At 45.7% G+C, this 25,121-nt stretch overlaps 1 protein-coding gene and 1 long non-coding RNA gene across 27 annotated transcripts in view, besides 2 other annotated features; one reads left to right on the top strand and one right to left on the bottom strand.

Moving 5' to 3' along the window:
- AUTS2 (activator of transcription and developmental regulator AUTS2) overlaps positions 1–25,121 on the top strand; it is a 1,195,032-nt gene that overhangs the window by 976,138 nt on the left and 193,773 nt on the right. The window contains exon 1 of one of the 26 annotated variants that reach the window (XM_047420171.1): positions 21,473–22,187. The exons of the other annotated variants lie outside the window; for them this stretch is intronic. The gene's annotated coding sequence lies outside the window, so the exon portion shown is untranslated. Of the gene's footprint in view, positions 1–21,472; positions 22,188–25,121 lie in introns of those variants that run through there. 26 annotated transcript variants of the gene reach the window in all.
- LOC124901668 (uncharacterized) lies at positions 16,326–20,936 on the bottom strand. Its single transcript, XR_007060375.1, has 2 exons — positions 20,510–20,936; positions 16,326–17,364 (listed from the first exon to the last, which is right to left on the bottom strand). It is a non-coding gene; the product is annotated as an uncharacterized LOC124901668 (long non-coding RNA).
- Positions 21,473–21,974: an enhancer, noted in NCBI's record as "H3K4me1 hESC enhancer chr7:70061071-70061572 (GRCh37/hg19 assembly coordinates)". NCBI's record gives its function as "activates a minimal SCP1, AML or CMV promoter by ChIP-STARR-seq in naive H9 embryonic stem cells {active_cell/tissue: H9 hESC(naive)}" and the evidence as "EXISTENCE:reporter gene assay evidence [ECO:0000049][PMID:30033119]".
- Positions 21,544–21,743: a silencer, noted in NCBI's record as "silent region_18225". NCBI's record gives its function as "represses an Ori minimal core promoter by ATAC-STARR-seq in GM12878 lymphoblastoid cells {active_cell/tissue: GM12878}" and the evidence as "EXISTENCE:reporter gene assay evidence [ECO:0000049][PMID:35858748]".

A 25,121-nucleotide genomic window follows, 5' to 3' on the forward strand; every position in this document is an offset into this window, starting at 1 on the left:
CTGGGTTTTAACTTTAACACAGGCTGGGTTTCAACTTTCATGGTGAATTAGGACTGTCTCCTGCCATTCTCCCTTGGCTTGCTGCACTGTAGAAAACTGTGAAAGGAGCCACTAACTAGGGCAGACCACTGGCCCAATTTGAACAGGACTGCTTTGTTTTAGCTGGACCTAGAGGTTTAAATCACAAGACGGCTACTGGATTCCCTTCTCCCCGACCCCCTCATGGCCACCACCACTAGCCCTCTGTAGGAGGAGAACTTCACTGAGCACCTGATTACCTGTTCTCGCTTTAGGATTAGATCAAGATAGGACAGAGAGGTTGTTCATTTGTAGGCTTGTTGCCTTACTGTAGGAGTAGTTGGATTGAGTCAAGCCATCCTTTTCCTTGGGAAACAGGCCCCTGCCGCTTTAAGTGGAGTTGCTGGGTAATCGTTCCGCTCGGTTGCATAACCAGAAAGGGATGTGTCAGGACTGGGACCTGCAGACAGCGAAGGCTTTATTAAAACGCTCGCAGAGACCTAGACAGATGAGTGGTCTCCAGTTGGAGTTCTTTCCATCTTCCCCATCTGTTCACTGCAGTTTTAATTAAATCTACTGAGATTATTTTTGGCCTTCTCCAGGAACAGAAAGCCAGCCTGTGCCAATGTCCACTCGTTTCTGTGCTTTACTGCCAGCCACTAATGAGCAGGCACATGGGGCACCCCTGCCTGTGTGCACCCCCTTCCTTTGCCAGCCATCATGAGTTGCTAATAGGGTAGGAACTAAAAGTGCCAAGCCCAGGCCTCTCCACCTTCTCCCACCTCCACCCCCACCCTCAGCCCCACCTTGGTGCTAAAGAAAGCCAGCTAACGAATGATTCCACTTGTGGTTAGCTAGCTAATGGGAATGACAGGCTTCAAATAACCTTAAAGCATGCAGCCCCAATGCTTGTCTGTCTGATCAGGGCCCTTCTGCTGGCACCTGACACTTTCAATACCATAATGGCATTCACATGCATTCTTTTTGAATGCTGTCATATAGCAAGACCTTTCTTCTCTTCGTTTGCTGGGAGGATGCCTGGCAAAGCTATTAAGTCTGTGATGGGAATGACAGTTAACTGCGGGCCTGTCAGTCCCACTTTGGAAGTCAGCACATCCTTATACCCATTAGGAGCATATCATAGGAACTTCAGAAATAACCTGCTGCAAGATACCATCAGGTTGTTGCGCTGCCTGCAAACATACCACCCAACGAGCTTTGCACATCATTCTGCCCTGCCTCTCATTAAGGGTCTGGTTTGTTGATATTTGGTAGATATTTGATTTCTGAATTTCAGATTGGGACATAGTAATTACTTCTGGAAGGTAGCATGGCTGTCCCCAGGTAGTTGGCAGGTGGTGGTTCTTCCTATTTATGGTCAGTGCTTCATGGATTTGAGGACTTCTGTTAGTTGGGTTTCCAAGAGAAGTTGTGTCTTGGAATCCATTTCCCTAATTGACCCCCTAGGTTTCCAAAGCAGACTCTAGGCAGATGTACATTTTTTATTGCACTTGAGTCCCAAATTCTGGCCTAATCACCAACACCAGTGCACTGGGCAGGACTGTGAGTGAGCCTCAGTTTCCCCTCTTGCCCCAAGTTCAAGGCCTACAAGAGACCCATCTGAGTGGCCCACCCTCCTCTGCGCTCCCTAAGAAGGAAAGGGGTCAAAGAGAGGGATCCGAGTGGTCCAGAGCAACTGCTGCCCCTGCTGAGCTGTGTTTATAACTTCTCATTCCTCCCACTGATAGTCTCACCCCTCCACAGTGATCCCTTGCTCTGTTCTTGAAGACTCCATTTTCATTGACCCATATCAGCACTTGCATTTTGGGGTTGATGTTGTGGAACCTAAACAATTAGAAGGTTGGACTTAGAGCTTTTAGAGTCTTGATTTGTCCATACATACAGCTTGACTTTCTGCTAAGACACACGCTTCCACTCCTAACCAGCAACCGAGAATCAACATCTTCTGTGTAATTTCCAGGAAATGCCTTTCAAACTCACTGCCATTAGGTAGCTCTCCAAACTTCACTTAGAGGAACAATGTTTTAGAAGGATTCCAAAAATAGGAATAAGTGCAGTCCTTTTTCTCTAGATTGGCATTTTCTGAAATGTTTCCTGGAATAGTCTTTTCGTAATATATTAATAGACGCCACTAGGATAAAGGATTTTGTTTGAAAAGTGTTGGATTAGATCAAATTAAGCAAAGCAGTGGAGAGGGCAATATTATGCTGTGTTTACCAAACAGCTTTGACCACAGAACACCTAGGAACATTTCATAGATCCCTTGGAACACAGTTTGGGAAATGCTACTCCAGAGGATCTGGAGTAAGACAAACCAGCAGAGAACCAGAGTTAGCCTTTCTGGTATTCCAGTTTAGAACAGCACCATATGCTCTGCAGATAGAGGCTCTAATAACCCTATGACACCAATGCCAGGACTTTTGAATGAATGAGTAGAAAAAAATATTATTTAGTGTGCTATGTGTTGTTTTGCTTATGTAGATCCTTGGGAGAAATAACACTCTGATTGCAGAGTTACGAATAATTGAGCCTTTTTTGAAGAGTTGGTTTTCCTTTTATCTTGCAACCCCCATGAACTGTGCAACTGCTTAGCTTCCCATCATCACCGTGGCTGCTGGAAGCCTAGAGCCAGCTTCCTGGCCCATCTGTTATAAATAAGTGGTTAAGTGATGGGCAGACTTCATTTCCATCTCCACTGTGCATACCCACATGGTTTATTTTTCCTTCTTTTCTACCAATAATTTTAAAAATCCTCCCCCCTCCCTGTTATCTTTTAAAGGTACCCTAAATCCTTTTGGTCCTTTAAGGTACTTTAAATCCTTTATCCTTTTGGTCCTTTAAGGTAACTTAAATCCTTCGGTGTAGGGAATATGTAAGTGATACATAACATTACCTGTTACCAGTCTTAGCTACTTAATTGATAAATTGACATTGGCTTGTCTGAGATTATTGTCATTTTGGGTTGATCAACAAGGTTGATGAGCAGTTGATGTATAGCCACAGCTACGGCAACAGTTTCTTAGTTTCAGAACATACCATGTGTTTTGTCTGGAGACTCTCTAATCACTGAAACATGAAAACAATTTACTAAGCTATGTTTTTTTCCCCAACTGTGGCAACATCATAAAGCATTTTTGTTCATATGTGTTTTATTGGGTTTTTTTTTAATTTTTTTCTTTATTTTTTTTTTATTTTTTGAGATGGAGTCTTGCTCTGTCGCCCAGGCTGGAGTGCAGTGGCGTGATCTCAGCTCACTGCAAGCTCCGCCTCCCAGGTTCACGCCATTCTCCTGCCTCAGCCTCCTGAGTAGCTGGGACTACAGGCGCCCGCCACCACGCCCGGCTAATTTTTTGTATTTTTAGTAGAGACGGGGTTTCACCATGCTAGCTAGGATGGTCTCAGTCTCCTGAACTTGTGATCTGCCCGCCTCGGCCTCTCAAAGTGCTGGGATTACAGGCGTGAGCCACCGCACCTGGCCTTTTGTCCATATGTGTTTTGTCCTCAGTAGATTCCTAGTAGAATATGAAAATAATTTGCAGAAGATATCCTAGAAAGTTAGAGCTAAAAGGGACCTTAAAGATCATCTAGTCTAGAGATGGCAAATAAGTTTCGATTGTCCTGCTATCTATGGTTTGTTAGTTGGCTGCCTGGAGGCTTGTATTGAAGATTCTGGGCCATGAAGGCATCAAAGGCTAAATCGATTAGTGATGTCTGCCATGAGCATGGCATGAAGGCAAGGAAGTGTGCATGCTGCACATTTTCTGTCCCTAGTTTCTCCCTTTTGACCAATGAAATCACCTGAGACAGAGGTGGCACTAGAAATCACGTCTTTATTCTAAGTCCAGGACTCTTTGTAACCCCATCTTGCTGAAGTAATTATTTTTCTTCCAACTATAAACGTTAGTAAACTAGAGCACCAAAACAATATGCTTCTTCTAGATTTGCCATTGAGTTCACTGTAAAGTGAAATACAAAACCAAGAATCAGTCCCCCTCTTCATTATTTTTCCCAACTTCTGATATAGTTGAGGAACGAGGCCTATTCTATACTGGGACCTACCCAAATTTTTCTTGTTTATACTTAGCCATATTATCATGATTTGGTTTTTTTTAATTAAGACTGTTTTGGTAAGACATATTCTCCAGCAAATTCATTTTCCCTGGGTCCTTCTTTGGTTAAGCATGTTGCTAGCTATAGCCAAACCAACAGGTCTAAGATGCCTAAGTTATATTATCTTTTCTTTTCTTCTTTCCTTTCTTTCTTTTTTTTTCTTTCTTTTTTTTTTTTTGAGAAACAGAGTCTCCCTCCTTTGCCCAGGTTGGAGTGGTGCAGTGGTGCGATCATGGCTCACTGCAGCCTCAACCTCCCCAGGGTTCAGGTGATCCTCCCACCTCAGCCTCTCGAATAGTTGGGATTACAGGCACATGCCACCACACCTGGCTAATTTTTGTTTTTTTAGTAGAAACAGGGTTTCACCATGTTGGCCAGGCTGGTCTCAAACTCCTGAGCTAAAGCAATCCACCCATCTCGGCCTCCACAAGTGTTGAGGTTGCAGGCATGAGCCATCATGCCCAGCCTTATATTCTCTTTTCTAAAAAAAAAAAAAAAAAAGATGAAGGGAGGAACATTTTAGAAAAATCAAGTTAGGCAGCTTTGCTATCTCAGTATGCAATGCTGAGAAGTGTCACTTTAACAGACTTAATCCTTTCAAATAATAATTCAAATGAAATTGAGATGAACAGTTTGGCTCTTAAGGACTTTTTTTCTTGAGACAATGGGATTCTTTTTTCTAAGCAATTAATTTGCTAATAAAAAAAATGGTGCTGCCCTGTTCCTTATTTGCTTTATTTCATGAGAAATCAGGTTGGCAATCTTGTTCACATATTTACCCATGGAACATTCCATTCCATCTCCTTCAATGCTGAAGACATGGGTTTCAAGCCTACCCTGCCCAGGGATAAGACAGAGCAGGTGCAATTAATAAACCATCTTTTCAAGCTTTCCTTCCAGTGGTTTGTAGACTGCTTTCTCCTGACATGAGTCAAGCTATTTAATGTGATGGAATTCATCTTGTAAGGCTCTCTCCATTCAGGCTAAGTGATTGAATTCACAATTCCTCTGATTTAGTGCCTCGTTTGTCACTTTCTTGAGGAGAGGTTTTTGGACCCATTTAGTTGGGAGATTGGCTGGAGCAGGAAGTCGGGGAGAATCTGCCCCTAAGCCACCATTTCCTTCCACTTCAAACATGATTCATAATCAGTCTGGAAGAAGCAGGAAGATAGAGGATGACCAACTGCTCTGAGAAGCAGGCTGCTGTGAAGTTGATTACGTTTGCAGGACAGCCTCTAAGATGTCTTCGAGGCCAGGACACAGACCCTCTAGAAGCCAGCCATTTTAGCCACTTGGGGCTCCACAACACAGTGCCTTCGAACGTAACCAGCACTGACTCGGTGGTGTGCACTGGGCCTCAAAGCACATTCCCGTCTCTTATCATTCAGTAGCCCAGTGCCAATTAGAGTGGACGTACTAGACGGTTTCACTCTTGCAACCCTGAAACAGTGGAGTTTCAGGGCTGAAAGCCAGTCTGACTTCATCCTGACCTTCAGCTATGCACATGTGCCCTGCGCTGTAGCGTGGCTGCCTGCTGAATGGGAATGGGGTAGGTGTGCTTGTCCCAGCATCATTGACATTCCAGGAGGCTGCTTCCTGCCGGTCCTCCCCCTCACCAGGTACCATGTTTCCTATTAGTTCTTCAGGAAGGAAGGCAGGTCAAAAGGGTGGATGAAGTAGGTCAGAAAGAGGGCAGTCTCTAGTAGGAGGGGACACAGACTTATTTACTGGTAGGAATTCTCTCCTGTGGAAAAACAGTTCCGAATTCAGCCTCAGGATACAAGCCCCACCTCTGGAGGTGCTCAGGCCATGAGGGCTGCAGCTGCAGGTCTTCTGTTCGTCAACCTTTTTCTCTTGAGCTGAACACACCAGACTCCCTGCAGAATTGCTTGGGTGTGCAGGGAGAGTCAGGTTATTTTTTAATTGAAAAAGACATTTTTTCTTGAGAACATGGGAACACTACAAACCTTCAAGGCAAATGGAAGAACAAATAGATGTTCCAGTGTCTAGGCCCAGAACAGGAAGTTTTACGTTGTGTTTAACAGATACGACAGGATTTGCAGAGGAACTTTAAAGGAGCCCAGGAGTCCGCTGAAAATGTATTTAAAGTTTTGTTTGTGTGCTTGTGCATTTGCCTCAGAAGATGGTTCTTGGCTTTCATCAGATTTTCAAATAGAATCTGTAACCAAAAAAATAGTTGAGGCTGGGTGTGGTGGCCCATACCTGTAATCCCAGCACTTTGGGAGGCCAAGACAGGAGGATCACTTGAGGCCAGGAGTTTGAAGCTAGCCTGGACAACCCAGTGAGACTCCTTTGCTTCAAAAAAAATTTTAAAATAAGGCCGGGCGTAGTGGCTCACGCTTGTAATACCAGTACTTTGGGAGGCCGAGGCGGGCAGATCACCTGAGGTCGGGAGTTCGAGACCAGCCTGACCAACGTGGTGAAACCCCCATCTCTACTAAAAATACAAAAAAATTTGCCGGGCATGGTGGCTCATGCCTGTAATCCCAGCTACTCGGGAGGCTGAGGCAGGAAAATTGCTTGAAACTGGGAGGCGGAGGTTGTGGTGAGCCGAGATTGCGCCATTGCATTCCAGCCTGGGCAAGAAGAGCGAAACTCCGTCTCAATAAATAAATAAATAAATAAATTAGCCGGGTGCGATGGCATGTGCCTATAGTCCCGGCTACTCAGGAGGCTGAGGTGGGAGGATCGCTTAAGCCAGTGAGTTCTAGGCTATGATTGCACCACTGCATTCCAACCTGAGCAACCTCCAACCTGTTTCAAAGAAAAAAAAATGTTGAGATTCATTGGGCTCTTAACCAGAGACTAACTATGCACACGCCACTTTGGAAATGTATGCTGTTTGTTACCCACCACAGTACTCTCACCCACCTGACCCCTTCTCCCTATCCAACCTTAGCCTTAACCAAGAACAGACCTGGTTCCTAGTAAGCCATGTTTCCATTCACCAAGGTTTGGGGAGCCTTCCCTGACTATAAAAGAGACTCTGCTATCACTTTTATTTCATCTTAATTCAGGCATTTTTTTAATGTGGTGTAGTTGACTTGTTTCTAAATTCCTTTACATTTTGTATTGTTCACACAGTAAAAATGTCTATTTTACCATTCCCCATTCTAATTTTTCATCATTTAGTCAAAGGTGGGGCCAAAATTGAGCTTTAGTCTATGTATAGTAAGGTTTTGTTTCATTTTGTTTTGTTTTCTTTCAACCAGAAGAATAAAATCAGAATTTTAGAGCTTGTCTTACCCAACCCACTTTTTTTTTTTTTTTTTTAACCAGAGATGTTAAGTCGTTTTTCAAGGTCAAACATCTAGTTGGTAGTAGAGGTAATGAGTTGTTTTATTCTTTGCTCTTATCGAAGAAAGGAAATTATAGAATTAATGGAATTTTATGAAGTTGGGGGTTTTCTTTATCGTTATCATTAAAAGAACGCAGTGTGGTTTTATGAAAGCCTCACACAGGCTGTCTTCTCAGCCCTTTTCAGACCCGCACTCTTTCCTCCATCCACATCCTCTCCCTTCTCCCCAGCCCCAACCCTTCCTTCCACGTCAAGCTGAGTATACAAAGCATCCCATATTTCAGGCTGAGGCCTACGGAGTGGGTTCCCACTGGACCCTCTAGCAGCCTGCATTCTCCGACTTGAATGGCTGCATGTGGAGAGTATGTATATTTGTTCAGAGCTCTTGCTTTAAGTTACCCCTTCCCACCACGTTGCCCAAAGAAATAGGAATGTGAGGGGAAAAGGAAAGGAAAAATACCACAGGTATTTTCCCCTCTGGGGAAGCTTGGGACTCACCACTTCACAGAATTCAAGGTACAGAAGCATCTTTTCATTTAGCAGAAGGCTGCAAAGTGTGGGTAGAATGCTGAGTTTTGTTAATGAATTGCTGTTCATTTCCCTCTTCATCGTTCTTAGTAGCTTTTAGAAAATGTGTCTGCTTTTGACTTGAGCCTTCTACAAGGCCAGAGATGTTTCTACAGAGAGCCCTTTTCTTGCAAATAAGAACTCCTTTCACTTTTGTTCATATTGTCCCACCATGTTGCTGCCTTTAAAAAAAATGTGTTGTATATATAACCTAGATTATGTCCCTATAAAGTGAGTTTGTAACGACTCCCTCATGAGCTTAGCAAAAGTATGTCTAGACAATTTTTTTTGGCTTTTCCCCCCAAACTTCTTTGGGTTAAAAATAGGGAAGGACTTGTTTTAATACAGTGTAGTACTGTATCTTTAACCTTTTGTCCAAACGCATATTGCCTGTTTAAGTTTTATTTAGAGAAAGTGTGTAACTTATAAACCAGCTCGCTCAGACCTTGGGGCCGCCCCTGGCTGGTCTTCCTGCTGCCCGTGGATTAGCCTAGTCTCCAGAAGTGTTTTACAGGAAGCTTAGGCGGAGGGAAGCACTTAATTATTATCCAAATTTTTCCCTTTAGTTAAGTCTTACGGTAAGATATCCCAGAGATTATATTTTTAGCAACCACTTTAAAGAGACTGGGGAGATTAATTTAAAATTGATAATCGCATGGCAGCACCACAGCCTAACAAGCTCAAGGTCTGCCTTGTGGAGCTGGCTGCTCTCTGGGGACCCCAGTTCAATTCTCTTTGCTGCCAGTTGAAATCAGAAATCACAACCGCAGTGATTAGCAGTGAATTCCCTGATCTCCCTGCTCGAGGCAGAGGGAGAGGGGGCCTGTTTTCTAAGTAGCCAGTCGTTAACTCTTTCATGGGAGGGGCGGAGGCAGAGGTAGTGATTCATGGGTGTGAGGTGGGGCCTAGTAATCTACACCTTCACAGAAACTTCCCAGGTAATGCTTAGAGTCCCCAGCTCTGGGAGCTTCTGTTTTTAGGGGAGTGGTGGACAGTGAGTGAAGAAAGAGCCTTTTGGGCCCATCCAAGGCTGCCCTCCAGGCACCATGACCGCTGAAACCCGCACCGCACGGCTCAGGCCTCTGCCGAGCAACTCTGTCCTTCTGGGCGAGCCTTTCTTTGTGGAAGAAAGCAAAAAAAACTGCCTTCTGTCCCTCTTCCAGCATTCTTCTTTTAAAAATGGCCTCTGGCTACCAAGTGGACAATTATGGATAGCTCTGTAGAGCAGCGGTAAGCAGTGTTAATTAGCTGCAGGATATCAGAAACAAAAATGAAAATATTTTCCCTGTGGGCCAAACAAAATTAATTTTAAAAATTAATGTAAACCACTAATGCTGCAAGTGCCTCCATTAAATTACAGGACTGTGACATGTACAATGCTATATTTTTGCCGTTGAATTTGTTATCTAAGAGGTGTTCATTGTTTGTTACGGTGTGAAAAGCTGTTTTCCTCCAGATAAGCTTGTTCATTAGGAAACTGGATCTCTGCCACCACCCTGTTTCTTCGCACTGAAGTAATGCCCTGTAGCATAAATGTAGACAGCCGCACTGCATTTAATATCAGAAATGTAAATCAAAAGCGTCCAGTCTGGTTTTAAATGGCTTCAGTCTTTCCCAGGGTGAAATCTGGGGAAAAATTTCTTCTCTGTGCAGCTTCTGACACCACTGCTTTAGCAGACAGGCCCTGAAAGCAGGCTGATAATTATTAAACAAAGTATCTTGTTTCCCACTGAGGTCTCCGGATCGCTCTGTCATTAGACTGGATTTATTTCTAGGGTTTCATTCACGCTGTGACAGCTTGGGATTTATAAGTTCTGTGTTTTAATTTCAGGCAGAAATGAAACTGGTCAATTGCAATTTGGGAGGGGGAAGAACCCTTGATAAAAGGGCTGTGCATCCTAATGCCTAAATACAGAGCCAGAATAAAGAAGGCATCTTGGGTGGCATGCTGCGACTTCAGCCACAGCTGCCAGCGAACTTGAGCCAGCCCTGGGGGCAGTACAGAGACAGGCCGAGAACGCCATGCTTAGTGCAGCCCCAGAGCACCCCTTCACACCACAGGCCCCTGTTCCAGGGAGGCGAGTGCTGGCCTTGCTCTGAAGAAGGAAGGGGGAGCAACCAGGAGGAATCCCTCGTCCTGCCAGCCACGAAGGGCGTGTGCTGGGGCAGTGACTGAAAACTTCAGTGTTTCTCTGGCTCTGTCTTCATTCCAGAAGCTCTGGCACACAGGTGGAAGCCTGGCCTCACCCAGCCAGGAGCATGTAGGTTCTCCTTGAACCTCTGCACCCTGCTTTTCAAGGTGTTGAGTAAGCTCAGTGTCTGATTTCTTTTTTTCAAAGGGAAACCAAAATTATTAACTCCTCTGATATCCTTTCTGGCTCCTATTTACTTACTTAGCAAGCATCTAATTCAGCACTATTTCAAATCTGAGGGGTGTGTTGGTAACCAGTTGGGAGCTGAGAGAAAACCTGATTAGCAGTAAGCTTATTTCCATAGAAACAGGCCAATTAAGATGCTGTGTGAAAAAGCAGTGGAGAGCCCTGACCAGTCAACTTTTGGGGGTCCTGCAGGGGGCAAACTGTCCCTGCCCTGCTGTGGAAACAGCTGGACTGACACACAGAGAGGAGACTCTAGTCCTCTGGGGGGTGCTGTGGCTTTCTGCGGGGCTGCTGGTGTTTTCTTGCGCTCAGAGCACTTTACAACACAGGCCTGAAACAGAGCAGCATCAGGAGGGTCGCTAGAGCTACACTCCCGCTTCTCTTCCAGAATCCCCTATTTGACTGACCAGGAAACTGAGGTTCTCATTAATGACTTTTCTGCCAAAAGAGGCACAAACAAATGAACTCCTTCCGAGAGCCCTATCAGATGTTGCAACGTAAGAGGCTTCTAGTCGGTCATACAGATCGCGTATATTAACATAGGAACTGATCTGCCATCACCAAGGTGACCATAGGTCCTGGTTTGCCTCAAACAGCCCCAATTTATGCCTGCTGTACTTGTTAACAGTGGATATCTTCACTCTTAAAAGTATCCGAGTTTGAATTCTACGGGATGATCACCCTCGCTATTACCCACAATCTAGCCAGTTGGTTCAAGGCGAATAACCCCTAATGGGACCAGTGAATTAGAATCTCTTGTTTAAAAGTTGTGGAAGGCTACATGTGGGACAAAACCAATGAAATAAAGATTTATTTATTTATTTATTTATTTATGTATGTATATATGTATGTTTTGAGACAGTGTCTTGCTCTGTCGCCCAGACTGGAGTGCAACGGCGCGATCTCGGCTCACTGCAACCTCTACCTCCCGGGTTCAAGCTATTCTCCTGCCTCAGCCCCCTAAGTAGCTGGGATTACAAGCATGCGCCACCATGTCTGGCTGATTTTTGTATTTTTAGTACAGACAGAGTTTCACCTTGTTGGCCAGGCTGGTCTCGAACTTCTGACCTCAAGTGATCCTCCTGCCTCAGCCTCCCAAAGTGCTGGGATTACAGGCATGAGCGATCGCGCCCAGCCGAAATAAAGTTTTAAAACACTCGAAACAATGCTACATGGCATTTGTATCTATGTACAAATATAGCAAAAGTATAAATGCCATACCGTGCATGATAAATATCAAATTGGTGAGTGTGTACCCTGCGGGAAGATATCTGAAATATATATTTCTCCAGCTATATGGTGGCTCTACAGGTTTTCCTTACATGTATTCTTATGTTATCCTATACTTTTCCTGTAGTCCAAAAATATTTCATAATTTAAAAAGAAGCAAGCAGGCCTTCAGCCAACAGAGAATGGTTTCATTAAAGTAGGGGAGTGTATTTGTTGGGGTGCATGTAAGGAAGGGAAGGATTCTATTTAGGGTTAAACATCTCAAGAATTGCTCCAGGAAATGATGCGATTGGGAGCATGACTGAAGCGTTGCATTGTACTCTGGGATAGCACTGGTAGACAGGCACTCCAGAAAGCACAGGATGCCTGCCCATTGCATTGATGTTTCTCGAGTTCTCAGCACTAAGGCTTGCATCCTAAACTCTGGTGTGGGAAAGCTAGCTGCATATTTACGTTCTGGGTGGATTTGCCTCCGGAGACCCTGCTGTTCAATCCCATTCAGTTTGCAGGTTAACATTTACTGTTCCTGTCCTTGAGGTCAGCACTTGCCCACAGATTTTCCTAATTTCTTTATTTTACTCTTCCTCCAACAATTGCAATAACTTGGATACTTTCTCTTCACTACTTGCAGGAAACAGGAAGGAGGCACACAGTGTGATACACAGTCTTGGGTTGATGTCTGTTTTCAAACATGTTTTTGGAATCTCCATTTGAGTAGTTTAGGTCTAATTCCAGTCATACCAACTGGCTTATAAAAGCCACCAGGAATGGGTAAAATTGCTCCAGAATGGGAAGGGAGCAGCATTCCATATGGCAAGGGATTTTTCTTTTTTCTTTTTTGAGACAGAGTCTCACTCTGTTACCAGGCTGGAGTGCAGTGATGCCATCACGGCTCACTGCAGCATCAACCCCCCTGGACTTGAGCAACCCTCCCACCTCTGCCTCCTGAGTAGCTGGAACAAGAGGAACATACCACCATGCGGGCTAATTTTTTAACTTTTTGTAGAGATAGGGTCTCACTCTGCTGCTCAGGCTGTTCCTGAATCCTTGGGCTCAGGAGATTCTCCCATCCCAGCCTCCCGGAGTATTGGGATTACAGGCATGAGCCACCACACCTGCCCAGGAAGGGATTTTTCAAGAGGAAATGAGACAGAAAGAGTTTGGACTGAGTGCACATCTTTCTCTACCCTCAATGATGTTTGTTAGCACTGCATCACCTGGCCTAGATGGTCCTTGGCAACTAGGTGACTGATCTGAGTATTTTACATTGCAGCATCTGTACACAGGTGATCTGTATACAGCAAGTGATTCCTGTAAGCTCCTTGACAATAACAGCAATAATAACCTTTACTCAGCACATGCTGCATCCCAGGCACTTTGGTGCAGCACTTTACATGACTTTCTGTCTTCCATCCTCACAGTCACCCTTTGAGGTGGGTATTAGGATGAACCATGTGAAACTGCCATTTTTGTAGGTCAAAAACAGTCAAATATTGGCAATTGTATGTGGTCCAATCTAATAATCTTTTTGTAATCAAAAACAGTCAAATATTAGCAGTCCTATGTGGTTCAATCTGATCATCTTACTGTATTTGCTTTGCAAATAGAGAAATTCAGACATTGAAACTTGCTCAAAGTCCACCCATCTACCAGGTGCCAGAACTGGAATTTGAACAAGGTACTCCCCTCCACACCCTCACACTGAACTGCCGCCGCACAGTGCTGTCTCCTTGGGTGGAAGAAAAAGGCATATTTTTGTGGCCTAGGTGTTAAATAGGTTCTTCAACAACACCTCGGCCAACTTTGAGATCAAAGATGGTTGGTCAGATGAATCAAATGTTTCCTGGAGTCTTGGGTTACACTCGTAATGCTCTGTTTAAAAGGAATGATATGTAGTGAGCACATCAGAAATCTGGAAGATGGAAAATCTCTCTTTAGGATCTCTGCTCCTCTCTCGAGCAAAGAAAGAAATCGGTGTGGTGCCAGCAGAGGTGTTCTCAGCAGGACCTGGCCCATTAAATGAAAGACTTCCATGCTGAGCCAATCAAGAGAGACCTGGACAAAAATCAGACTCTTTCCTGCCCTGGAAACCCATGCCTTGAATCTGTAATTCATCTGTTAAATCAAGTGTGCAGCCGGTGGTTTAGCACAGAGGGGGACGACGGGGAAGAGAGAGGGGCAGGAGCTGCAGCACTTGAATTTCCAGCATCAGAGTCCAGTTAGGGAAAAGAAACAGAGCTGTGATAGCTTCTTGGACCTTATGTTTCCAGCAAAGAGAAAGCAGCAGGAAAGATTTTTGAAAACAGATGAGCTGGTGGAAGGTATTAGAACAATGGCGGAAGAGGCAGGGACCCCAGGGGCTGAACAAAACACAGTTCCGCTGTTGCCTTTCAACAAGACTGAATAAAGTTTAGGATTTTTTTTTTATGGGACTTGTAGCCGTTTTTAAACTTTCATTTTTCATAATGTCACAGATAATCTTTTTATCTATTATCCACTGGCTCTTTTCTGAGAGGCATTTGCATCAAATAGTGCTGTACAGATCATGACTGTCTCTAGTGGGGAAAGCAGCTTGAAATGAAAGGTTATTCACTCCCTCTGCTTTCGCTGGCTTTGTTCTTGATTCTCACACATTTTTTTACATCTGAATTCGGGTATTTCTGGAGTTTTTCTTTAGAAACCCTTCCATTCTGAGATCTAAGCATATTCAGACTCCGATCTATATATCAGGGGTTACAAAGCTTATGCCTACTGAAAGTGAAGCATGTACTTTGAAACATTTGTTGGATACCCCATGGTTTCCAAAATCCCTTCAGAGCATTTCCTACAGAGGCAGCAACCGTAAAAAGCGGCCAGTCACACAGTGGGGGCCCTTTCCCTAGCACTGGCCTCCTGGTGGCAGTGGAGCAGTGGCCTTCCAAGCATGCACTGCGAGACATGAGTGGGGCAATCCGCTCCTTCCAACTGCAGGGAGAACGGGTCTGCAGAATGAATTCTCTTTCTCCACTCCTCCCATGTGGGGAACAAACGAGAGCCCTCCCAGGGGGCGAAGTGGAGCTGCAGGAGAGCATGGTGGAAAACCCAGGAGCCACCTGGGCTAACAGGGAATCAAAAATGACCTTTTTGTGCACAAAACCCCCTGGGAAAAAAAATGACCTAGAAAGAAGTGGGGTTATGGCCAGGTGCGGTGGCTTACGCCTATAATCCTAGCATTTTGGGAGGCTGAGGTGGGCAGATCACTTGAGGTCAGGAGTTTGAGACCAGCCTAGCCAACATGGCGAAACCCCATCTCTACTAAATATTCAAAAATTAGCGGGATGCGGTGGCAGACGCCTGTAATCCCAGCTACTCAGAAGGCTGAGGCAGGAGAATAGCTTGAACCTGGGAGGCGGAGGTTGCAGTGAGCCGAGATTATGCCACTGCACTCTAGCCTGGGTGATAGAATGAAACTCTGTCTCAAAAAAAGAAAAGAAAAGAAAGAAAGTCGTGGGGATATGACTGATAGTTTCTGTTCAGCTTCTATTATAGTTTCTTAACTCATCACCCCAAGCTCCAGGGGGACTCTGGGGGAAGGTTGAGACCAGGTTTGTTCTCAGGCCTGCCTGACAGAGCCCCTCAGGAAAGCATCATCCACTCCAGCTTTCTCCTCTGCTGTTCCCCACTCAAACACTCCTGCCATTCCCTCTCAGAAAGCCCAGAAACCTTTCTTCCCCTCCCCAGGAGGAGGGAGAGCAGTCTGCAGAGGCAAGGCCTGAGTGGCCACAATGACTTAGGTATTCCAGCTGTGCCCAGAACTTGGTCTCAGACAAGTGCACCCAGGTTAGTAGTGACCTCAGAGAACAGTGGCCAGGAACTTGTTTTTGCATTTGTGTGTGTGTGTGTGTGTGTGTGTGTGTATGTATGTATATATATATATATATGTATAAAATAAGGGGGCACTGGCCCCCAGAGAAGTACTGACAACAACCTCTGGTTAGAGGGCAGTTCTTTGCAGCTTTTGATGACAACCTGCGAGGAGAGAATGTTGCTCTCAATTGTTCAAGAAACTGAAAGCTTAGAGAGGTTGAAGCGATTTGCCAAGTTCACGGGCTGGTGACGGAGTGGGCCTCAGAACTCAGATCTTTCTGACTCAAACTGCCTTGTTCTTACCATCCCCTATCTCCCTAGAGGTTGTTAGAACTTTTGGGGGCATACTGTTCCTTTATTTTAGAAACTCTTTGGATATAGGGTAGTGGTTGAAGCAGCTCTGAGGATCTGTTTTGAAGAGAAGGGTAGCATTGTTAGACTAGTAGGGTAATTTCCTTTTCCCAAGCTCGTCCCTCCAGACCTTTGAGCCGGTCATCATAGTTTTATATTTTATGACCGAAAAGAAACTTCTGTTAAATCGTAAATACACTAAAAGCCCTGGTGCCTAAACACATGAACGTATTATCTCCTTGAGCCTGGAAATCTCCCAGCAATGTGGCAGGAATGTAGAAACAGTCTGAGTTGTCAACAAAACATAACAGATTTCCCAGTTGTAACAAACATACGTGTAGTTGTGAATGGAAAACTCTCCCAATAAGCAAAATAATGGCCTTTTTCGTGTTGTTTTCCTCATTTACCATAGCTGTCCTTTCAGAGTGCCATCGGTTTCAAATGTTTCATTGTATTGATATTTATAACACTTCTAGTAAGCAGAGTGCCCACTACATTATTTTTATTTAACTCTCTCCAGAGTTAAAGGAACTTGTAGTTAAGGTGTCATCTTTCAGATTTACAATTTTACCTAGATTGGCAACATGGGTGGCAAAGTGCTTGGAACTAAGACAGAAAAGTTGGTTCCAGTCCTGGCCTGCCTTTGTGTGTGACTTGAGTAAGGCTCAGGAAGAGAGGCTGCTGATACCCACCCCACCTGTCCCCACCCCACCTGCCCCCACCCCAGATGGGTCCCAAGGCAAATGTGAAAGATTAGGTGCTCCTGAATGTGACACCAGACGTGGTGTGACAGAGCCCATTTGTGGGTGTCTGTTTCAAAGCTTTTGGTTCATAGGCCATGCTGCCCGCTTTGCTGGAGGAAAGTTCCAAGACCCACACCAGGCTACTCCTTGACAGGAAGCTTTTGTTCCTAGCAACGGGTTTACCCAGTCTTTGTTTGTTTGTTTGTTTGTTTGTTTGTTTTGAGACAGGGTCTCACTCTGTCCCCCAGGCTGGAGTGCAGTGGTGCTATCTCAGCTCACCGCAACCTCCACCTCCAGGTTCAAGCGGTTCTTCTGCCTCAGCCACCCAGGTAGCTGGGATTACAGGCACTGGCCATCACGCCTGACTAACTTTATATATTTTTAGTAGAGACAGGGTTTCACCATGTTGGCTAGGCTGGTCTCAAACTCCTGACCTCAAGTGATTCTCCCGCCTCAGCCTCCGAAAGTGCTGGGGTTACAGGCATGAGCCACCCCGCCTGCCCCGACTCTCTTCTTAATATGCTCCATGCGTTTGTTTATGCTCCCCCCACCTGCAACATACTTTGTAGTCTACGCATGTGTCAGGGCTATTTGCTGGTCTCTTTTCTCTCACCCTGATCTGGCTGTGAGCAGATAATCCCCCATTCCTCAATTTGGCTGGTACTGCAGTTGGCACGGCTCTCCAAACTCTGCAGCCACCAGACATGTAGAAACAAACCTCTAGGCTTCCCAGGAGGCTCACGGACTGCCTCATGGCTGAGCCTTCAATAGAGATGATCATCTATGAAAATAATAACAAAAAATGTTGCTGGTTATAAATGCAATATATGCTCAATAGAAATAGTAGTCTATAAAATTAGAAAGTTATGCTGTTATAAATAGAATATATGCTCATTGTAAAAATGTAGAAAATGTAATACATATTAAGAAAAAATATTCATATTTGCCATCGATATATATTTTACATATTTGTATGTTTTTTCAGTATGACACATCAAAGAAAGGGCAGAATCTTCTTTCTTCTCTTAACTTTTTGTCGTGAGCAATACAGTGTTAAGTTCAGGGAAGGAATTGAGTTCGGAGCCAAACTGCCCAGGTTTGAATTCAGCTCTGCCACTTGCTAGTTGTGTAATACTGCTTTTTTGTTTGGTTTGGTGTATTTTATTTTATTTATTTTATTTTTTTTTGAGATGGAGTCTTGCCCTGTTGACAGGCTGGAGTACAGTTGCACAATCTCAGCTCACTGCAACCTCCGCCTCTGGGTTCAAACAGCTCTCCTGCCTCAGCCTCCCGAGTAGCTGGATTACAAGTGTGTGCCACCATACCCAGTTAATTTTTGTATTTTTAGTAGATATGAGGTATCACCATGTTGGCCAAGCTGGTCTCGAACTCCTGACCTCAAATGATCCCACCCGCCCTGTCCTCCCGAAGTGCTGGGATTACAGGCATGAGCTACCACGTCCACTGCCTGCCTGTCTTTTACTGAAGTTGTAGATGTCCTCTTTGCCTATTCTCTGAATTCTACCCCTACCCTACCCATGGTGACCCACAGAGTGCTTTGTATACAATAGGGGTGTCATTAATGTTTGTTGAACATAAATGAATTAAAATATAACATCCTAAAAGTGATTTCAAACTTTGGAATTTAGGTTTTGTTGTTTTTGTTTTTTATTAGAGACGGTCTTGCTCTGTTGCCCAGGCTGCAGTGCGGTGCCACCATCTTGACTCACTGCAACCTCAAACTTCTGGGCCCAAGTGATCCTCTCACCTCAGTCTCCTGAGTAGCTGGGACTACGGGCACAATCCACCATGCTAGCTACTTTTTTTTTTTTTCTTGTAGAGATGGTGTTTCACTATGTTGCACAGGCTGGTCTTGAACTCCTGGCCTCAAGCGATTCTCCTGCCTCTGCCTCCTAAAGTGCTGGGATTAACAGGCATGAACCACCATGCCTGACCTGACTTTGGACAAGTTATTTGGCATTTATAATTCCACTTTCTCATCTACAAAATAGAGACAATAATAGTACCTACCTCATGGGGCTGTTTTGAGGAATTAACACAAATAAAGCACTTAGAATAATGCTTCGTGCTGTGCAGTAAGCACTCAATAATCTAAGTTGGTAATATTCCTGTTTTTATATCGTGTTTTAATAAATGAGAACATAACATTTTAAAATCAAGGAGCTGTGATTTCATGCTCTGCACACTGCCTCAGTGACATAAAGACTGGGACTGAAGCTGGGGCATCACTCCCTTTGGTTTCCCCTCTCCTAGGCCCTTAGTCACATACACCTTGGAGAACAGGCACAACCGAGAGGACCTGCATTTCAGTGATGTCCGAGGCCAAGGGACAAGGCCAGATTCTAGTCAGGTGATAATGGAATGAGAGTGTTCACTGCACATGTCTTAATGAATGGAGATGATAAGGGGTCACCAAGCCCTATATATTTATAGTGCTTTATTTTTCATCCAAAAACACAAAGTGCTGTTTAGTCCCCACAACAATCAGGAAAGCGAGGAACTATTCTTCCCACTGAGGGGATGGGAAAGCTGAGTCCCCTTGGTGGGACCGGGCTGCAGGCGCAGGGACTTGCTCCCCTCAAACTGTTGTGGTCTCACCACAGTCAGGACCAGTCACTTGAACAGCTCCCATTTCCCCAGAATGATTCTATAGAGAGGCAGGAGAACCCTGGACCCTGAGCAGGAGACTTCAGTCCAGGGGCCAGCAGCGCAAGCACAGCGTCATAGAACATCATAGAACATAGAACATTATTCTGCTCAGGGCAAAATAATGTGGGCTGCACAGTCTGGCCCAGGCAGCCCTCAGTGTTGTGCCCTCAAGTGTTGAGATGACAGGAGGATGGGGTCAGGCCAGTGATCCTCAAAGTCAGAAGAAGAATACTATGCCTCAATCCTACTCATTTCCTTTCCAAACTCTCCCTAGAGGGCCTCTAACTGTGGCTGAGGGGAGGGGCGGCACTTTTTGATACACGGTGCAACTTGCCCACTTTGACCCTGACCTTTGCTCTGTCCCCTTCAGGTGACCCTGGCAAGTAGCTTTTTAGAGCAGTGGTTCTCAAACTTGAGTGTGTGCAGAATCCCCTGGGGTTGGGGGGCAGGGCTTTGAAAATACAGATTGCTGGGCCCCACCCCTAGAGTTTCTGATACAGTGGCTCAGGGATGGGCCCAATAATTTACATTTCTGACATCTGGGTTCCTGGATGCTGCTAGTGGAGAGAACCGGTGATTTGATAGCATTGGTGAGCTGGCTCAACTCTCTGCTCAGGAAAGTGACAGGATGCCTCAAATGCTGAGTGCTGCGTATTCAAATTCCAAACACAAGGCAACTAGGATGGGAGCCCTTCTAGACTCTGTGTATTCAAGGACCAGGGAGAGGCTTAGCAGCTCTCAGCTCTCCTGGCACAGAGAGAGTTCTCTGAAGCTTGCTGTTTTTCTCTCTCCTACTTTGATAGTTTCCTCCATTTGTATGGGCGGAGGTTGCAAAGGCCAGAATAGACTCAGCGAGAGTGGGAGATGGGGGTGAGTGAGTGTGTTCACTTTTGATGAGGAGCAGATGTGACAAGCACTAAAATGGAGTGGGCAATAAGAATTATTACTAGCTGAGGCCGGGCACAGTCGCTCACACCTGTAATCCCAGCACTTTGGAAGGCCGAGGCGGGTGGATCACCTGAGGTCAGGAGTTCAAGACCAGCCTGACCAACATGGAGAAACCCTGCCTCTACTAAAAATACAAAATTAGTCGGGCGTGGTGGCACATGCCTGTAATCGCAGCTACTTGGGAAGCTAAGGCAGAAGAATTGCTTGAACCTGGGAGGCGGAGGCTGCAGTGAGCCGAGATTGCACCATTGCACTCCAGCCTGAACAAGAGTGAAACTGTCTCAAGAAAAAAAAAAAAGAATTATTACCAGCTGCTTTGTGGTCAGGATGTCCCAAGCTGGCACTGCAGCAACCGCTGTTAGGGGGCTTGGTGCCATTTGCAAGGATGTCATCCTCAGCCACTGGTTTCTAGGCAGCCCCTCCAGGAATTCCTCTTCCATGCACCTCCTTGGGCAGAGCGTTGAGGTGTGGTGGCTGAAATTCAGGAATTATTGTGGAAGCTTGAGTTTGCATGCCCACTCCGTTTCCTACTAACTAGCTCAGGGGCGGGGGAGTTTCTGAACTATGTTGGCATAGTTCAGAAACTTAATGTTTAAGTGTCTTAATGTATACGATGGAGATAATGCTCTCTGATTTACTGACCTCTCGGGTTGTGGGCTAGACACCAGAGTTTCAGAGTTCTCGGTGCACTGCTGTGTATTCCTGGGAATGCCCCTGAGGGTGGAGCTCTCTGTAAGGAAGGCAGCCCCAAGGGCAGGGCTGGTCTCTTTAGAAAGACTAGGAATGAGGACACCCGGCGTCCAGGCCTAGCTTTTCCACCCACTCACCTTCACAGCTCCTTCATCCTTTCTGCTTCAGTTCCCTCCTCTGTAACATGAAGTTGGAGTAGATACTTCATTCAGAGCATCTTCCGGCTGTAAATGGCTTGAGCCCATTGTCAACTGGAAGACAGAGTGTGACGTCTAAAAACCCAAACAGCAAAGAGCATCTCTTCCAAACCACCCAATCTGGAGAGGTGGGGCAGTTTTGTGGTTCCGGCACCGACACCGTCCCTTTCACACGGTACTGAGCCGCGGGCTGCTTCGGGGCGGCCCTCCCCGCCCCGTGCCTTGCCGGGATGGCAGAGCGGATCAGAAGCTGCGCGCGCTCTGCCTGCGCGCTTTGCCTGCGCGCTTTGCCGCCGCAACCCGCGCAGCAGCCAATCCGCTGGTGCACTGCAGGTGACCTCCCCCGGGCCCGGGAATAAATTGTCAAGTTTCCCCACCGTGGGTGTCTTTGCTAGCCGGCGAGTTGCAGTCTTCTGAGCTAATTAGGAGACGGTCATGAGGAGCGAGGCGGGCCGGGGCGCTCCGCGGGCCGGGGCGGGGCTGGGGCGGGCGGCGCGCAGCTCCTGGGCCGAGGCATCCGCGAGCCGCGGGTAGATCGCTCGCGTCTGATCGCCGCCCGGGAGCTCCCGCGGAGCCGGCTGCCAGGACTCGTTCCAGCTCCAGTGCGGGGCTGCCCGGGCGTCCAGAGGCGGCGGACGGCGTGCCGGCAAGTTTCCCCGGCACCTGCCAGTGCCCGCGAACCCACCTCGGAAGCCAGACCCGGGGAGGCAGAGGCAGAGGCCGGCTGGCTCCAGCCGTGGTACCGCACGGCTGCCACCCTCGGACTTCCGTCTTGAGTCTCCTGAGGCTGAGAAGCAGCAGATGCCGAACCTGCCCCCTGACGTGGACGTACACCTCAAGACCTAAAATGCGCCCTGCCTGGAGACTTTGAACTTAGTCTTCTGGAAATGCGGAGACCGCTTCGGGTGGTTTTGTTTTTGCATCCTCTTCGGCTAGGTTTGGCTTTGGGATTCTCTGGCTACCTGGATACGCCTTTCCTTTGTGGGCAAGTCTCCCGCGGATCGCAGCACCAGCAGCCAACCCTGGGGCACACCAGCCTTTAAAACCCCCGAGCCTGGAGACGCATGGAGCTAGAGAAGAGGACCCAACTCCTGACCACGTAAGGACTCTGATTCCACCTTTCCCGTGATGGAGAGAAATATAATTTCATGGCAGAATTTTCTTTAAGCACATTGTCTGATAGGATTGGCAATTACTAACCAGGAAAATGAGTAGCAATTAGGAGTTCAGTAATAAATGGAAGTCTATTGTCCTAATTGAGTGGAATTACTGACTGGTAATGGCAACACTGAATTCTTCAGTTTAATTAAGAGTTTATATAATTATAGTGCACTTTTTATTTCTTGGGGGAGCCATGGGGTAGGAATTAAATAACCAGTGTGATGGTTAAGAAACCCATTTAATGGGTAAGTAACCAATGAGTTGAAATGAATGTGAGTGCCTTGCTCAAGCAATGCAAACTTAGATGAATTCCTGATAAAGAGATGTAACAGCTTGGGCCAAGCAAGACTTTCAGCTGCTAATTCCTGTCTGATAAAAATCTGAACGGCTTAGAAATGATTGGGTAATCTCTAAAACTGGCACACTGAAACTGTTTTAGAGATACCAGAGCTCCCTCTCTCCTGCCGGGGTATTAACCCCGATTTGTGCTCTCTGTCGCTGTGTTTTCCACATTCTTCAAGAGTGAAACGAGTGGGTCATTTGAGAGTGCTTTTGCAGCCTGGGGTTTCTGTATGGAAAATCTTGTGATTGAGCTGTTGAGCTGTAAATGTTGATAGCTGAAGGGGATAGACAAGCTTCATCGAAGTTACTCAAATTCAAAGCAGAGTGAGTATGTAGGTGTGCAATTTGGGAACTAATCTGTAATTATAAAGATGTTATTTTCCTCTTTGGTGGTGTATTGTTTCCTTTACTATTATGTTCTCAAGAAATTGTTCCCCTTGTGGGAAGCAGTGAAATTGGAGAGAAATCCCTGCTCAGAGGATAATTACTTATATTTTTGGTGTAGGTTTCTGGGAATCCTTTTAACCCTACATTGGGATGCACATATTTATTTCCATAAGAAGCTCCAGCAGGTTTGGAAATCACTAGGTTTTGAATACACTGGTAGATAATTAGCACTTCAAGTAACAATATTTATGCCACTCTGTACCTTGACTTCTTTTTCTTGCTTACACGAGGTCTAGATTTTCAACAGGATGATCAGGGACTACCTTCTCTAGAGAGCTTGCATATTGCAAGTGGGTTCAGGGAGCACCATTATAGTTGCATTTCACTCCAGAAGAGACAGTGAGTGGCATGGAAGGGGCATTGCATCTTGAATACTGCATGCGTTTTAAAGTTTGCAGAGCTTATTCATAAATCCGCTTGGTTAATGAGAAAAAAGCAGGTATCGAAAGACGTTTGCTGTATGTGTGCCTCCCAGTCTCAGCCCTTCCAGGTGCTTTGCAGGTCCCTAAGTACAGAGTGTCACTGTCCAGAATTTTAAGGGCTTACCTACCCTGGTTTTTCCCCTCTCCCCTAGTCCTGTTTTGTCATTGCTACCATGAAAATCTAGCAAAAGTGTAGAAAGTTGTGTCCTTCCAGAACCACGGTTTCTCAGTGCAGGTTTACTGTATTGAGCGCCCACTCCTTTTCTGTTTGTATTCTGCCCAAGGCACAGCAGACATTCACTCCTTTTATTTCCCATGAAATTGTACAACAGGCAGAAGCTTGAAGATACAACACGGATGGAAATTTGAGCCTTGTAACGTTCAAAAATGACACAATTGCCAAGTTTCCTAACTTTTCCTAAGAGTTGATTAAAGATCACAACTTCATATCGCTCCTTTTTCCCTATGCATTTGCCGTCCATCACACACCTGACTGTGAGCTGTTGTAATAGCTAGATGAGGTTTAAAAAAAGAGGGAGTAGGGGCTCAAGGATTGCTGTCCTCTCAGAAATGTTGCCCAAGGCTACCCTAAGGCTCAGCCTACCCCCAGATTCTCTTTCTGACAAGTGGGTGTTTGGTAGGATGGTGTGAAAGTTTCCTTCTATGATAACATCTTTAAGATTTGTTTCCAAATTCCCTTTTTTTTCTTTTTGTAACCTGCTGAGAATATGAGTCTGTAACCTATGTATTTATCTGAAGTCAGCCTGAACAGATAGAAAAACTGAGTTACAAGGTATGGGACTCCCAGTAAATTAGGAACAGATGTGGGTCAAAAACAGATTTCCAAACTCTTTATCAAATGATCCCACTTGGAAACAAGACATGAACAGGCCTAACTACTCTTAAAATGCAAGGTTTGTCTGAGGGCAAACATGCTGGAAAAGATGGTGGCCACCACCCTGCCTCTACTTTTCTTTTCCTTTCATCTTTCTTCCCACCGTCTTTGGTTCCCTGCATAGGCTGTGTAGTGGGTATCAGTCAGCACTTGTCTGCTGGTTGCACAATGCAGATTACTCACTTCTGCCCAAGTAACTCCCTGAAGCCGTACTGTAACAATAGAGCATATAAAAAAGAAACTCAGGTTGATCTTGGCCCCTGTCCAAGGGGATTAGCTAGGGAGCACCTGAAAGGCCTGTGTTGAACACACTCACCTGTAACCCAGTTCCATGGCCTGGATCTCAAGGACAGGGTAATCTCAGTACCTTTTAATGACCTAGTAAATGTGGTATCTTTCTGTCTTTACACTCGACCTGATGGCTCATAGAGTCTCCTCATTATGGAGCTGGAGGAGTACTTTGAGGTCATCTAGGCCCTCACTACTCAAAGTGTGGACCATGGGTCAGCAGCATTGGTATCACCAAGGAGCCTGTTAGAAATGCTGAACCTCAGGTCCATCCCTGGATTTATAGAATCAGAATCTGCGACAGGTTCCCCAGATTTCTCATATGCATTATGACAGGTGGGGTTGTCCCATGATCCAACTCTGAGATGGAGTTTAGCCAGTGGCGTATTTATTAAGGAGTGCCCTTTGGATCAATACCTATGGGAAGGAGGAGGAAGGAACAGGAATAGGTAGGTAGAGCAAGAAGTCAAGCAGCAAT

Source organism: Homo sapiens, chromosome 7 (assembly GCF_000001405.40).
Source record: "Homo sapiens chromosome 7, GRCh38.p14 Primary Assembly".
NCBI lineage: Eukaryota > Metazoa > Chordata > Mammalia > Primates > Hominidae > Homo > Homo sapiens.